Genomic DNA, 14,692 nt, shown 5'->3' with positions numbered 1-14,692 from the left:
GGCAATGTGAGCTCCCTGTGGTCACTAGGCCATGGCATTAAAGACACACTCACCCCCAGAACTGAGCCCTGGGGACGGTGCCCAGGGTGCCCAGAGCACGAGGGCCATCGGCTCTGCCCACGTGGGCAGCTCTCACTGTGGGGAGGTGGCTGGTGTCCTGTGGCTGCTGAAACAAATTGCCAAAAACTTGGGGTTTGACCGACGCCATCTATTTTAGAATTCTGGAGGTCAGAGGTTGGACACGGGTCTCACGGGGCTACAATCAAGGTACTGCCAGGGCTGGTTCCCTCTGGAGGCTCCAGGAGAGAACCTGTTTCCTGCCTTTCCCATGCGTGGCTCAGGGTGCCCCCCTCCACCTCCAAGGCAGCCGCACAGCACCCCGACCCCCTGTGCTCACAGCTCCCGCCCCCCACTTACTAGGACCCTGTGAGGACATCGCCCATCTCTGGGTCCTGGATTTAATCCCACCTGCAAAGTCCCTTCTGCCACATAAAGTAACATCTTCACAGGCTGCCAGGATGAGGATAGGGACATCTCTGGGGGCTGCGATTCTGCCCACCACGGGGATGGCCTTGAAGAGGGAGGTGAAATGAAGGCGGAACCCTCTGCCTCTGGGGTGCTTGGAGCCGAGGTGAGGTGGAGATGCCACCGAGGGCCAGGCGAGGGTGGGAGGATGGCACCTTAGCCCTGGGCCACAGGAAGCATCCATGGGAGCCCACGGGCTGTTTGACCTTTCGAGGAGACAGACCAGGCAGGCCTGAGAGGCAGGGCTGGCTCACGGCGAGCACCTGTCAAGTCCAGGCTGTGGATGCCTCTCCTCCCCAAAGAAATCAGGGCTCCCCAGGGCCAGGGCAGGAGGGGACAAGACAAGGACCCCTTGTCCCACCCAAGAGCCACGAAGCTGCAAGGACAACGAGGGCTGGTCATAAAGACAGAGCAGATGCGGAGGTGCCTCTGGTCACAGACAGGATGCTGTGGCTGCATTAGGGAAAGTAAGGCCACCAAATGTGTTTAGAGCCACGCAAAATGATGCTTACAACATGACTGTCACTGTTAGAGGAGGCAGCTCTTCACCCTGCACTCGGTGAATCAAGGAGCGTGGCCAGTGACCCTCCCGCCGTCCCGCAGGAACCAGGCACAGGGAAGGAGGCACCGATGCGCTTCCTGGAAGATTCTAGCTAACAAGTGAAGAGGGCTCATGGCCCAGCGGATCCTGCTCAATCACCCTGCGAATGAACAGCAGCTACAAACGTCCCCGGGAGGCAACGGAAGACACACAGCTGACGGGAGAGCGTGGCCAGCAAGCCCTGCGGGAAATCCAGCGAGCCCACGCATTCACAGAGGCGCGTGGGGGCGCCGCGGAATCCAGGCAGGGTGTCCCCGGGCCGGCAGCCAGGCTGCTTCAGCAGAACCACCGCGAGGGGAGCCGACAGCAGACAAACGGGGCCCATAAGCTAATAGACCTAAGAGGCCTTGGCCAGCGGCCTCGGCGGAGCGCTGGGGAGACTCTGATTCCAGCAAGCCCGGAAAATACGATGAGACCGTCAGGGAGATGTGAGCACCGAGCGAGGAAGACTCAGGAACTGCTGGAATGTCATTTTCAGGTGGATGGTGGTTTTGCGGTTATATATTTAAGACAAAAAAGAGGCCCTATGTGTGAACAGCTCCTGCTGATATTTACAGATAGGTTTTGTTTTGTTTTGTTTTTGTTTTTGAGGTCTGGGATTTGCTTTTACTCATTTGGAGGGAGAACGTAGGCGGGTGTGAGGATGGGAAGCCAGGTAGAGCAGGCTTGCATCACGGCAGGAGGAGGCGAATGGAGCCCGGTACAGCACTCTCCATTTATTTATTCCTGTGTGTGTGAAACTCGCTATGATTGGATGTTACGATTTACACATTGATCGTGGGGACTAGGACACACTAGTGCATCCAATGGAATATCAATGAACAGCTGCCACACTCAACGGAGGTCTCATATACGACATTTCTTGAAAGAAGGTAAAACTACAGAAAACAGTGTCCTGCTTGGATAAAACCGCTCCCTTCCCACAGAGAGACACCACCGGGTGCTGAAAGGGGCGCTGGTTCCCCACACTCCAAGGTGAGCAGCCTGGCTTCTGCAGCGAGGCCCTTCCCTAGGGGCGGGACCTGAGATCTGCACGGCTGTCCCATCCCTCTGCTTGGGAAAGGGCAGGGCCTGGTGGTGCTGCAGGGGGGCTCCGTGACAGGTGGGAGTCGCTGCAGGCAGAAGGCGAGGTCTCCCCTCCCCACCCCAGGAGCTGAGGGGCAGGGCAGGCTTGGAAAGAGGGTGGGCCGGCAGGGGCCAGCAAGTGGAGGCAGCCAGGCTGTCCCGAGGAGACAGGGGGGCGGGCAGGGTGGCCGGGAGCACCAGGTGGTCAGGAGGACAGCAGGGACAGGCCAGCACCTGTGACTGTAGGACAGGCCAGGGCCTGGACAGGGCCAGGGCTGTCGGGGGCCACCAGGCACCAGTGGGAGGTGGATCTAGTGAGTCACGGCCCTGGAGAAGCAAATCACATCCTGACCTGACCTGGGGTGTAGAGGTCACACGGAGAATGCGTCCCCTGGCAGGAGCACCACACCCTGCTATTGACCAAGAGCCTGCACGATGGTGGTCTCTGGAGACCCTCGCCCCAGCCTGGGAGGCAGCCACACAACAAGGCCCCCCGCAGTGTGGGCTGGAAGACACTGACAGCCTGCGGCGGCAGGAGCGAGGGTACCCAGCATGTTGACATTTGCCAGTTTCCTTGATGTAGAGACTGCTGCCAAGGTCACGTTCAGGCTACCATCATGTCACCTGGTGCAAAAATGCCTGAAACCTTAACAGTTGGCTGTCAGGAGCTACATTTAACCATCCGCGCTGTCATGAGCCTGCTGGGAGCCTGCACAAGCCGGCTCTGCACCCTCTGCGGGGCTCACGCAGGTTCAGCTCCTGCAGCCCTTCCGGGGCCACAGCTGTGGATCCACAGGTCCCTCAGCTCCATGGCACTGCAAGGTCTGGGGGAGGGGGAGGCTCGGGGTTTGGGCCGCAGAGTTGCCGACGACAGAATCCACACTTGCTGACTGAAGCACGAAGAGCTTTACTGAGGGCTCACAGAAGGGCCGAGAGACAACAGAAACAGACACCGGCACAGGCTGGGCCAGCAGCATGGCCCGCTCACACCTGCCTCTCCAGGTTACACAGTTCAGGATCCAAGTCCTGTGCAAATGCATCTGACTGGCGAACAGAAATCCCATCAAGAACAGCTGCAGGGAGACTGGGGTCACGGTTTTCAGCTCCTGGCCACTGCGGTCCAGGAAGGCCAGCCAGACCAGGCCTAAGCCAATCCCCCACATCCTCCATGAGGGGACCTGCCAAGAGCGTCCAGGACTCCGCGCCGCCCTCCGTGCTATGTGCTGTGGGGCCAGCTGCCTCCCAGCCATGGACCACACCTGCTCAGAGTTCCTTAGAAGCCGGGCTCCTTGCCTTGCTGCCTTGGCTCTGGTGACCTCTGCATTTTGCAGACACCCGGGAGGAGCTGCCCAAGACGGCAGCCCCACTCCAGACCCTGTCTGATGGGCCGTGCACGTCTGCACATTCCACAGAATGTGACCAGCTGTGGAGCTCAATACAAAATGGCCCTCTGCTGGCCGGGCCCTGACTTCAGCCTGGACACTCGTCCCCATGTCCTGCCCAGATGATCACTGGGCAGAGCCGGAGATTCCTGGCTGCTTTGGTTATGAAACACATGTCCAGGTTTAGCCCAACCTCATATGCAGTTTACACTCTCATCTACCCTCCCTGTAGGCAAGGCTGGGGGCCCCAGGCTCTGTGGCGGGAGGTGGTCCCCGGTTCCCCTCCTGCCAGCAGCCCCTGCAGAGGAGGCCGGGGGTCTCTCAGGGCCAGATTCCACTTCCCCAGGGCCCTTCATGAGAGGAGCCTCCTCACTCACCCACAGCTGCCAGCACAACCCACTCCCCACTGCCTGTCACGCAACCCCCGGCAGGCCCACGCCCCGCACCCATAGCCTCCAGCCAGCTCCTGTGGGGCCTGCGCCGTGAGTGGGCCTGGGAGTCTCCCTGGCCTCAGTGGCCTTCCTGCCCCAGGGGGCCCCACCCCACCAGGGATGGTCCTGTGGATCAGGATGGCTCTGCTGGTGGCTATACCAGCTCTGGGCCCATCCCCCACTGCTGGACCCCACCCCGCACAAGGAAGCCTCTGGGCAGGCATCTGGGGCTCCAAAGCCCAACAGGAAACCAGCAGGGAGAGGGCCCGGCCTGGGCTCCTCTCCTAGGGTTAGGAGTTAGCTTTAGAGTTGGAGTTAGGGCTGGGTTGGGTTAGGTTAAGGGTTAGTATCAGGGTTAGGGTGAGGATTGGGTCAGGGGTTAGCATCAGGGTTAGGGTGAGAGTTGAGTCAGGGGTTAGCATCAGGGTTAGGATTGGGTCGGGTCAGGGGTTAGCATTAGGGTTAGGGCGAGGATTGGGTTAGGGTGGGGGATGGTTTAGGGGTTAGCATTAGAGTTAGGGTTGGGTTGGGGTTCAGGCTCTGCCTCCCATGATGCCCAGGTAGGTTCCCGGGGTGAAAGTGGTGAATGGGCGGCATCAGGAAGCTAAGCCCTGCCCATCCAGTCTGGCTGGAAGATTCTGGCTCCCCGGTGGCCCAGGAGTCACAGAATACCCCCAATTTCCTATCCCCTCCCCCTGCCTTGTCTCGCAAGGCCGAGACCTCCACCATGTCCACACTGTGAACTGAGACATTCCCTTTGTCCCCGCCTCACCGCTATCAACACTGGTGGCCTGGCTGGTGTGGGGCTGAGCCCACGGCCTCTGCAGATGTGGGAAACTCTTGCAATCAGTGCAGCATGGAGGCAGAGGGGCTGATTTGGCCTGGGCATCCCAACGGGCAGCAGGTCCCAGGGTGCACATGCTCACATCTGGGCTGCAAAGAACTGAGTCACAGGGAGAGGCGGGGTGCTCTGGGGCAGGCAGCGATGTCATCTCAGGGGTGCTCCGCCACCCCTCCTTCCGCAAGTGTCCATCATGGGCTCCAGGCCCCGCCAGTAAAGAGGTCACAAGATGGGAGAGGAGGGGACGGCAGAGAAAGGAAGTGGAGGGAAGGGCAAGGGAGGGGAGGACATTAGAGGGCAGGAAGGGGAGGGCTGTACCCCGGGAGCGCTGAGGACTTGCAAGCACCCACGGTGGGAGCTCCAGTGAGCATGAAGGAGCTTTGGGGTCCCACAGTGTTGGGGTCTCTATGGTCTTCCTTAGAGGGGAGGTGCTTTCACCTATGTTGGTGGGGCAGGGGGCACAGTAAGGCCAGGACGGTGGGCAGCTCATGGACCTGACTGAGCTCACAGTGCAGGGGACAGGGCCTCCGGTGTCCTCCTGGTCCTCTCCCCATCTCCTCCTCCCAGCAGGAGGTGGACAGGGGCCCAGCAGACCTTCACCAAGGAGAAGGCCAGACCCTGGGCTGAGGCAGCCCAGCAAATTGGGGCAGGGAGGGACGGGCCTGCCCCTGCCCTGTGCACCTCCTGAAGGGCCACGTCTGGGTGATGTCCAGTGTCTGGGCTGATTCTAGGGTAAGGACAAATGAAGAGTCCCCTGGCAGCAGGGAAAGGGCACCCCAAAATGCGAGATGGGACTGGCTGGCACCCACAGGACACAGGGCTGAGGAGAGGCCCTGCCTTCACCACCCAGGCCTCAGTTCACACTCTCCTTGGGACCTGGGGTCATGCGTGCTGGGCAAACCCACCACAGGCACCCTGGCATGGAGAAGGGGTGGCAGGAGGACGCCAATCACCATGTGACCCTAGGCCTGCTGGCCAGGCCAGCAACAGTTCACCTGCCCTACCTGCATCTATCAGACAGCCAGGGATGGCACCAGTCATTCACCTATACATCCTTATCCTATGCTTTCAGCCACGTGTCCTCTGGAAGGAAATCCCCACGGGCCCAGGGCACTCTGCTGTGTCAGCGCCCACTTCCTCCAAACAGTGGAGCTGGACACCCCGCCACATGCTGGCCCTGCCTGGACCACAAGGACCACGTGGCCCCACACCAGCACGGGTGCACCCCCGGGGGCTGGCACTTGGTTCTAGCTCTCACTGGAAGGGTGAGTGGCGCTGCCAGTTTCCGTGGAGGTCTCTGTCCTCCGAGCATGGCGACACTCAGGCAGCGTGGCGTGAGGGAAGCAGGCGGAGCCTGGGGCTGCCTCCACTCATACACTGGGCCTGGCCCCTCACCCACCCCGCGTCTGCACTGTGGGCAGAGCAAAGCCTACCAAGCACCTCACAACACAGACACCCCCGTGACTCACACTGCACACACGGGGTACCTCAGAACCAGTGCACACACCCTGGACAGGCTCTCACCTTCCAAGTCACCTGATACTTTCCAAAGAGAAACCACCCTCAACTTCCATTCATTTTTAAGCATCTGTTTGGCGAAGCATCTCTACATACCTACACTTCAGTCCACACACAATGTACACTGATCACTCATTTACACCCCCCCCAAAAATACTCAAAGTACTTTAAAATATAAACACTCATAAAAAGGACAATAAAAAATAAAATTAGGAATTACTATCATATAGGTGGAGGTAACATCTAACCTGAATGTGAAGTAAGGTTAGTAAATTGAGCACTAAATTATCTCTGAGATTCCTGGCAGCAAAGGTGAAAAGAGAGAGTTCCTGTTGCTGGAGAAAACGAAGCATCCCATTGATTGGCCTTGAAACATCAATCCCCAGTACTCCGGGCCTTGGAAAAAGAGCTGTTTTATATCTTAGTGAGTAGAAAAAGCAAGGCACAGGGCCGGGCGCGGTGGCTGACGCCTGTAATCCCAGCACTTTGGGAGGCTGAGGCGGGCGGATCACTTGAGGCCAACAGTTCGAGACCAGCCTGGCCAACATGGTGAAACCCGGTCTCTACTAAAAATACAAAAATTAGCCAGGCGTGGTGGCTCATGCCTGTAATTCCAGCTACTAGGGAGGCTGAGGCAGCAGAAGTGATTGAGCCTGGGAGGCAAAGGTTGCAGTGAGCTGAGATCGCCCTGGGGCAGGGCCTCCCGCATCAGGCACACCCAGAGGGGCAGGAAGCAGGCGGGCCCCCAGGTATGTGGCTGCTGTCTTCCCCTGGGCAAGCTACCCTGGACTTTTCCCAGGTCTCTCTCCATATTGTTCACCCCATTACTGAACTGAAATTTTGGCACTACGGTTACTCAAAACAAACATTTGAGAATAAAAAAGGGTAGGACAGTTTGTTTGAGCTACACATCCCACTTAGCTCTCTAGAAAAACCTGGTCTCTGTTACTTTGCTCTGGAAACAGGGCTTACGTTCCAATGTACTTCGAACACTGGAACAAGGCTCATGTTTACCTACAATGCACTTTGTAAGTAAACAAGGGCAAGTCAGCTCCTCAGCACAGGACTTATCAGCGCCTTCAGCGGGTGAACCTGCACCCAAGCTCCCTCTGGTGAACCCTCTCGCTTGCAGAGCACCCCCTTAGTCCTCTGAGTGCATATCCACAGCCTGCAGGGCCCCGTGTGGGAGAGGCTGGCATGGTGGAAGGAGGCGGAATGTCACGATGGACAGCCCGGGTTGAAGTTCCACTGGGATAATTTCCTGATGGTATCGTCACGGGCAGTCATTCCGTTCCTCTAAGCTTCAGGTTCCTCATCCGTCACACGGATGTGTGGCAAAACCACCCAGCCTGGAGGTGCTGCTGTGCCTGAGTGCAACAGTGGGGAGCACACATGGCTGTGACACCTGCCTCAGGGAAGAGCAAAAGCAGCATCAGTCACCACCTACTACAAAAGTGACAGCAGCCACCGGCGGGGGTCTGCCGGAACAGGCGCTAGGGCCCCGGGCCGATGGGGTCCTTGGAGGCGGGGGCGCTGGGCAGAGACTTCAGGTACTCCAGGTGCCTCCGGGCATCCTCCTGGTTGTGGCGCACATAGTACACGACGTAGGCGATCACCATGGCGAACCAGCCGAACATGGTGACCAGCATGGCCACGTCTGTGGTCCTGTGGGGGACGCTGCAGAGGCTGGCACCCGCATCCAGAGCCTGAACCAGAGGCTTCCCCACAAACTCCTCCTGCACTGAGGTGTGGCAGGCGATCTCGTCCACAGAGTCGGGGTCCAGCTTCAGCTCCCACAGGGCCTCCTGCAGGGCGCACTCGCAGTGCAGGGGGTTGTGGGACAGGCGTATCTTGGCGCTGAGTTTGCCCAGGGCGTCCTTGGGGATCCTCTGGATGCGGTTGTAAGACAGGTCCAGCAGCCGCAGGCCCCCGGCCAGGCCCGCGAAGGTGGCGGAGCCGATGGCCTCGATGGCGTTGTGAGACAGATCCAGCTCCCTGAGCCGGTGCAGGTGCTGGAAGGCCCCGTCCGGGAGGTGGGAGATCTTGTTGGCATCGAGCTTCAGGAGCACGGTGTTGGCCGGGATGTCCTCGGGGACCTCCTGAAGGCCCCGCAAGCTGCAGAAGACAGCCACAGCCCCTGCGTGGTCAGGGCACCGGCAGGGCTGTGGGCAGGCGGCGCCCAGGTGCAGGCAGAAGAGGAGGAAGAGACAAGACTCCCGGGTGGAGACCAGCAGGAGCGAGGGGCGAGGTGGGCGCACGGTGCCCATCCTGACCTGACCTGGGGACGGGGACACGCGAGCCTCTGCTAGGGCCTGGGGATGGAGCTGGTTTCCGCAGGCAAGGCCTTATCCAACCAGACATGAAACCGCCATCCTGCCCCGCTGGGAGAAGCAGTGCAGTCCACTCTGGCAGCTCTGAAAGGGAAGACGCAGGAGGGAGCGGAGAGGGAGGGAGGGTGGTCAGCACTGCCGGCTGCGGTCACCTGGGAAACGCGTCCACTGGTGGGGAGGGTGTTGAGGGCCCACTGAAGGGTCTGGGGTGGGGAGCACGCCTCCTTAAACAGCTCTGCCTGTAACTTACTTCTGGAGACTCCCAATGCGCCCGGGAGGAGCGTCCCACAAGTGCAGGGAGCTGGCACTGCCAGGGGGCTCCGCATGGCCCAGTGGGTGGTCACTGCGGCCACCCCTGGCCACCTACAGCACCGCTGGGGACCAAAGGCCGGGCGGCGGAGTGGCGGCGGCTTGGACCACCCAGCCCCTCCCTCCTCAGGGTGGACGCCAGGAGGACGGTGACGGCTGCAGCTTCTCCCGAACCTGGAGCGCGGGTCAAGCTGGGCACGTGGCCGGGCACCAGCGGGCGCTCGCGCGCCAGGGGCTACTCCAGCAGCCAACGCCTGGCTGACTCCGACAACCCCTAAAAACTGTCATAACCCAGCAAGCCCTTCCCTGCCAGCCCTAAAGGAGCCGCGGCTCGCACCGGGCACAGAACCGCGCCTTTTCTTTCAACTGCCTGAAGAAGGAAACCGAGAAAACAGAGAAGCCAAGCCCTGTGCGCGCGGCCCGCGCTGGGCGTGGACGGCGGGGCCGCGCGCGGAGCCGGCCGGGAGAGGCTCGGACCCCCAGGACCTCCAGCCTTTAGACCCTCCGGCCCTAGGACCCCCGGAACCTGGGACCCCCGAGACCCCAGCACTCGCGGCGGGGGGATGGTCATGGGGTGGGTGGGAATCCACGCTCCCAGGGCTGGGCGGGGGCTTTACCTGCGCGGCGGCGGCCGGAGGCTGCTCTGCGCGCCGCTCCCGGGCCTCTCGGAGCCCGCCAGACCCAGCTCCACGCCTGGCGCGGCGGCCACCCCGCTGCCCCTGCGACCGCGCCCGCGACCACTAGCTGGGGAGGCCGCGACTCCGGCCTGCGCGGGCGAGGGGCGGGGTGGGGCGGGGCCTGGAGGGGGCGGGGCGAAAGGCGGAGACAGGCTGTGTCGATTCCCCGCGGGGGCGGGGAAGGGGCGGGGCATGTAAGGAGACCGGAACGGGATTTGTGGTTAGGCGGGGGCGGGGCTTGAGGGCGGGTTCTGCGGCAGGGCGGGGCCTGGAAGAGATGGGGGAGGGGCATGGGAGGGGCATGGGAGGGGCCGGTGGTGCGGCTTTAGATGGAGCTGGTACTAAGACCCAGGTCGCAGGGGCTGTGGGCGGGTTGTGGGAGTAATTGTGGCATGCTGGGGGCGTGGTTGTGGGGCTGAGGACGAGGTGGTGGGGGCTGAGGGCGTGGTTATGGGTGGGGGCGGGGTCTGCGCGCCGGGAGGGGCTGTGGGTCCAGCCCCTGCCCCTCACTCTGGGCAAATCCCCTCTTCCCTCTGGCATCAGGACTTCTGGGGCTTGAAGACCCTGGGTCTGCGGGAAGCCCCTGCTGAGCGTCCCTCGCCTACCCCGTGGCCAGTGGGTGAGTAGGGCTAGATCTCCGCCCATCTAGGTCCCCTTCTGCTCCAGCTCCAGCGTCTGACATCCCAAGGAAGGAACGCAGGGTGGGGGCATTTGAGCCGGACCTGAGCCATCCTCATGGTTTTCAAAAAGTAGCCTTATTGTGGTGTAATTGACAGACGGTAAGCCACATATTTCAATTTGGTACGTTTTAACACTCGGATACTCCTGTGAAACCATCACCACAATCAGCATAGTGAACACCCCGGGTTCCCTCTTGGTCATCTCTCCCTGCCCTCCCTCATCCCCAGGCAAGCACTGATCTGCATTCTGTCACTACTGATTACTTTGCATTTCCTATGATTTGCACAAATGGAATCATATAATATGTACTTTTTGTGTAGCTTCTTTCACTCAGCACAATTATTTTTGAGATTTGCCTGCGTCATTTGGTTTGTCAATGCGTATTTCTTTTACAGCTGCATGGTACTCCAGTGTATGAATGTACCACAGTTTGTGTCCATTCACCTGCTGGTGGGCATTTGGGTTGTTTCTGGTGTTGGCTCTTACAGATAAAGCTGATCCGAACATTGTGCACAAGTCTTTGGATGAATGCTTTTCTTTCTCTTGAATAGATGTCTAGGAGTGGAGTGGCTGGATGCCACGGTAGCCATATGTGAAACTTTTTAAGAAACTGCCAAAGCGATTGTATGGTTTTACATTCCACATCCTCCCCAGCACTTGGTATGGTTTGTCTTTTTAATTTCAAATACTCTAATAGGTGTGTGGTGATAGATGGAACTGTGGTTTTAATTTGCGTTTCCCTGTTGGCCAATGATGTTGAGCATCATTTCATCTGTTTATTCTCCATCTCCTGTAGTAAGCGTTGAGTTCAAATCTTTTACTCACTTTTAATTGGGTTGTTTATTTTCTTATTATTGAGTTTGGGAGTTTGTTGCATATTCTGGATACAAGTCCTTTATCAGATATGTGATCTGTAAATGCTTTCTCCAAGCCTTTGGATTGTGTGTTCATTCTCTTAACAGTTTTTCAAAGAGCAGAATTTTTTAATTTTGAGGAAATCCAATTTATGTTTTTCTTTTATGGATCCTGCTTTTGGTGTCATATATAAGAAATCTTTGCCTCACCCAAAGTCACAAGGGTTTTAGAGTTTTAAAGGTTTGCATTTGGGTCTATTACCTATTTTAAGTTTATTTGGGTTTATAGTATGAGATATGATTCAATGTTTATTTTTTGTGTATGTGGATAATCAGTTTTTTCCAGACTGTTGAAAAGACTATCCTTTCTCTTGTTTGCTGAGAGTCTTTTTAATCAGGAATGAAAGTTGGATTTTGTTTTTTCTGCATCTATTGAGAATCTTTTTGCGTGATGATCTATTAATATGATAGAGTATAATGATTGATTTTAAAGTGTTAAATCAATCTTGTGTTCTTGGGATAAAGCCCACGTGGTCATGATGTATTATCATTTTTATATGTGGTTGAATTATTTAATGGATATACAACTGCTGAGTTTATTTTATTCTTGACTGAATGTATGTAGTTTGTATCGCTCAAGAAATTGCCCATCGCATATAAGTTGTTGAATTTATTAGCATAAAGTTGTTCATAATATTCCTTTATCCTTTCAACATCTGTGAAGTATGAGGTGATGTCATCTTTCTCATTTCTGATACTGGCAATTGTGGCTTTTTTTTTAACTGAACAATCAGATAGCAGTTTATCAATTGTATTGATCTTCTCAAAGAAATAGCTTTTTGGTTTCGTTGATGCACTTTTTTTTCATTGACTTCCACTCTTTATTCTTTCTTTTGCTTGTTTTTTTGTTTGTTTGTTTTTGTTTTTGTTTTTGTTTTTGAGACAGAGTCTTGCCTTGTTGCCCAAGCTGGAGTTCAGTGGGGGCAATCTCGGCTCACTGCAAACTCCATCTTCCGGGTTCAAGTGATTCTCCTGCCTCAGCCTCCTGAGTAGCTGGGATTACAGGCATGTGCCACCATGCCCAGCTAATTTTTGTATATTTTTAGTAGAGATGGGGTTTCACCATGTTGACCAGGCTTGTCTCGAACTCCTGACCTCAGGTTATCCACCCACCTCGGCCTCCCAAAGTGCTGGGATTACAGGCATGAACCACTGCACCCAGCCTCTTTTGCTTACATTGGGTTTGACTTTCTCTTCTTTTTTAGGTCTCTTAAGGTGGAAGCTGGGGTCACTGATCTGTACAAGCATTCAGTACTATAAATTTCCCTCTAAGTCCACCTTTAACTGCATCCCAGAAATTTTGATATGTTGTATTTTTGTTTTCATTAAGTTGAAAATAATTTATAATTTTCCCTTTGATTTCCTTTTTGACCCATGAGTTTAGAGCTATGCTATTTCACTTCCACATATCTGTGCATTTTCCAGAGCTCTTTCTGCTGTTGATCATTACTTTAAAGCCATTGTTGTCAGAGGACATATTCTATGTTTCGGATCCTTTTAAATTTATTGAGACTCTTTCATGGCCCCGATTATGGTTGGCGGTTGTTGCATGCGCACTTGAATTTGTGTACTGTTGCTCCACGAGGTGTCCTATAAACGGCAATGACTGTGTTATTTGAGTAGCCCATATTATCATCCACTTTCTGTCTACTTGCTCTGCTAATTATTGAGAGACCAGCCTGGGCAACAAAGTGAGACACCATCTCTACAAAAAATCAAAAACTCACCCATCCATGGCAGCGCATGCCTGCAATCCTAGCTACTTGGGAGGCTGAGGCAGGAGGATTTCTTGAGCCCAGGAAGTCAAGGCTGCAGTGAGCCGTGATTGTGCCATTGCATTTGAGCCTGGGTGGCAGAGCAAGACCCTGTCTCAAACAAACAAATTCTTGATAGCGGTGTTGAAACCTCTGACTGTAATTGCAGATTTGTCTGTAATTTTTCCTTGCAGCTCTATCAGCTTTTGCTTCATGTGTTTTGAGACTCTGTGCTCACATCGTGCATGCTCCTGACTGGTTGACCCCTGTGTCATCATGAAATGACCCTCTTTATCCCTAGACTCTGACTTGAAATTGACTCCTGCTTTCCTTTGATTAGTTTAGCATGGGATATCTTCTTTTACCTTGTTACTTTTTACCTAGTGTGTCTTATACTTAAATTAGCTTCATTGGAGATTTCCATAGGATCAAAGTATCTGCTTTGACATATTTATTAACCTAAAAAAGTAATAACAGCTTTTCAGTGCAGAAACCACCTTATCTATGTGACAAAGCTCGGGCCATCAGTGGCAAGGTAGATTGGCATCACGTACCTTTGATACAACAACCTGAGAAGGACGTCACTTCTGCGATATTCCTGCCAAAAATGCATCTCCGCATTCCGATCGTGAGAACATCCTGGGCACACCCAAACTGAGAGACACCATACAAAGTGACTGGTCAGTGCACTCAAAGGCAAAAAGCTCATGGAAGGCAACAGAAGACAGGAGAAGTGACAGCTAAAAGCAGCGTGGAATCCTGGAAGGGACAAAGAACACGAGCAGAGAAACTGTAGAAGCTGAGTGAGGGCAGCGGTCCAGCTTGCGCTGTTTTGCTGGGGTGATTCTGGCTTTGATGACCTTGTTTTGAGGTGACGAGCGCTCTGGCCGGGCCCGGTGTGTGCTGATTCTTCCCTGGCCGCTCCACACAGCCCTGTTCCTCTGTCCTCTCTTCCAGCCTCAGGTTTTCCTTAGGATTCCGTGTGTGTTCCCCGCCTGGCCCCTCCGCAGCGACTCTGCTGTCAGTGGCTGCCCCAGGGTGGAGAGTGACCTACCTCCGGCTTCTCCTGTCCCGGCTTCTCCTGTGCCAGCCGGTCAGGCACACTGTAAGATCCCCACAGCGGGGTGCCCCCACCCTCACCTGGACCCTACACCATCACCATCACACCTTCTCGTGTGTCATAAACCCCACAACACATTGTTATGATTTTTGCTTTAAATCAATTATCTTTTAAAGGGATTAAAATAATGTGAGCTGTGAAGTTGGTATGTTAAAAGTGGAAGAGATGCCACAGCCAAACCCAAACGTTACAGTATATTTTCAGTGAATTCATGCAGTTGCCACTGAACACTGCAGCGTAGACAGGAATGAATCCGCAGACGTTACCAAGAGTGAAGGAGGCCAGGCATGCAAAGGACACCTGGCCAGGTTCCGACTGGGGAGGTTCAAGAGCAGAGGAGACTCGTGGGGGGTGAGGAGGTCAGAAGCATGGGGACAACAATGCAGGGGCTCCAGGGCTCTGGGGGCTGGAGATGACTGGGTGCTGGTTGCTGACATCAGTAACCCATCAGCTGCTCACGCCTAAGAGGTGTGTGCATGACTAAGTGTGGGTGATGCCACCGTCAAGACAAGGCAGATGTGCGGCGTGCTCGCCGGTCACAGAC

The 14,692-nt window shown here is 55.7% G+C and overlaps 1 protein-coding gene and 1 long non-coding RNA gene across 2 annotated transcripts, besides 4 other annotated features; one reads left to right on the top strand and one right to left on the bottom strand.

Moving 5' to 3' along the window:
• Positions 1-3,078: 3,078 nt before the first annotated feature.
• LRRC3 (leucine rich repeat containing 3) lies at positions 3,079-9,765 on the bottom strand. Its single transcript, NM_030891.6, has 2 exons — positions 9,620-9,765; positions 3,079-8,777 (listed from the first exon to the last, which is right to left on the bottom strand). Exon 2 carries the CDS (start codon positions 8,628-8,630, stop codon positions 7,857-7,859), a length of 774 nt encoding a protein of 257 aa, NP_112153.1. The 5' UTR covers positions 8,631-8,777; positions 9,620-9,765; the 3' UTR covers positions 3,079-7,856.
• Positions 4,482-5,364: an enhancer, noted in NCBI's record as "H3K4me1 hESC enhancer chr21:45879794-45880676 (GRCh37/hg19 assembly coordinates)". NCBI's record gives its function as "activates a minimal SCP1, AML or CMV promoter by ChIP-STARR-seq in naive and primed H9 embryonic stem cells {active_cell/tissue: H9 hESC(naive and primed)}" and the evidence as "EXISTENCE:reporter gene assay evidence [ECO:0000049][PMID:30033119]".
• Positions 9,407-9,836: a silencer, noted in NCBI's record as "silent region_13384". NCBI's record gives its function as "represses an Ori minimal core promoter by ATAC-STARR-seq in GM12878 lymphoblastoid cells {active_cell/tissue: GM12878}" and the evidence as "EXISTENCE:reporter gene assay evidence [ECO:0000049][PMID:35858748]".
• Positions 9,925-10,104: a silencer, noted in NCBI's record as "fragment chr21:45875054-45875233 (GRCh37/hg19 assembly coordinates)". NCBI's record gives its function as "represses an EF-1alpha promoter that drives an FKBP-Casp9 reporter gene in an ReSE screen in K562 erythroleukemia cells {active_cell/tissue: K562}" and the evidence as "EXISTENCE:reporter gene assay evidence [ECO:0000049][PMID:32094911]".
• On the top strand, positions 9,991-14,289 carry LRRC3-DT (LRRC3 divergent transcript). Its single transcript, NR_047476.1, has 4 exons — positions 9,991-10,031; positions 10,223-10,298; positions 13,506-13,868; positions 13,986-14,289. It is a non-coding gene; the product is annotated as an LRRC3 divergent transcript (long non-coding RNA).
• Positions 10,268-10,768: an enhancer, noted in NCBI's record as "H3K4me1 hESC enhancer chr21:45874390-45874890 (GRCh37/hg19 assembly coordinates)". NCBI's record gives its function as "activates a minimal SCP1, AML or CMV promoter by ChIP-STARR-seq in primed H9 embryonic stem cells {active_cell/tissue: H9 hESC(primed)}" and the evidence as "EXISTENCE:reporter gene assay evidence [ECO:0000049][PMID:30033119]".
• Positions 14,290-14,692: the final 403 nt, after the last annotated feature.

This window comes from Homo sapiens, chromosome 21 (assembly GCF_000001405.40).
Source record: "Homo sapiens chromosome 21, GRCh38.p14 Primary Assembly".
NCBI lineage: Eukaryota > Metazoa > Chordata > Mammalia > Primates > Hominidae > Homo > Homo sapiens.
This window is presented reverse-complemented; position numbering and strand designations above follow the sequence as displayed.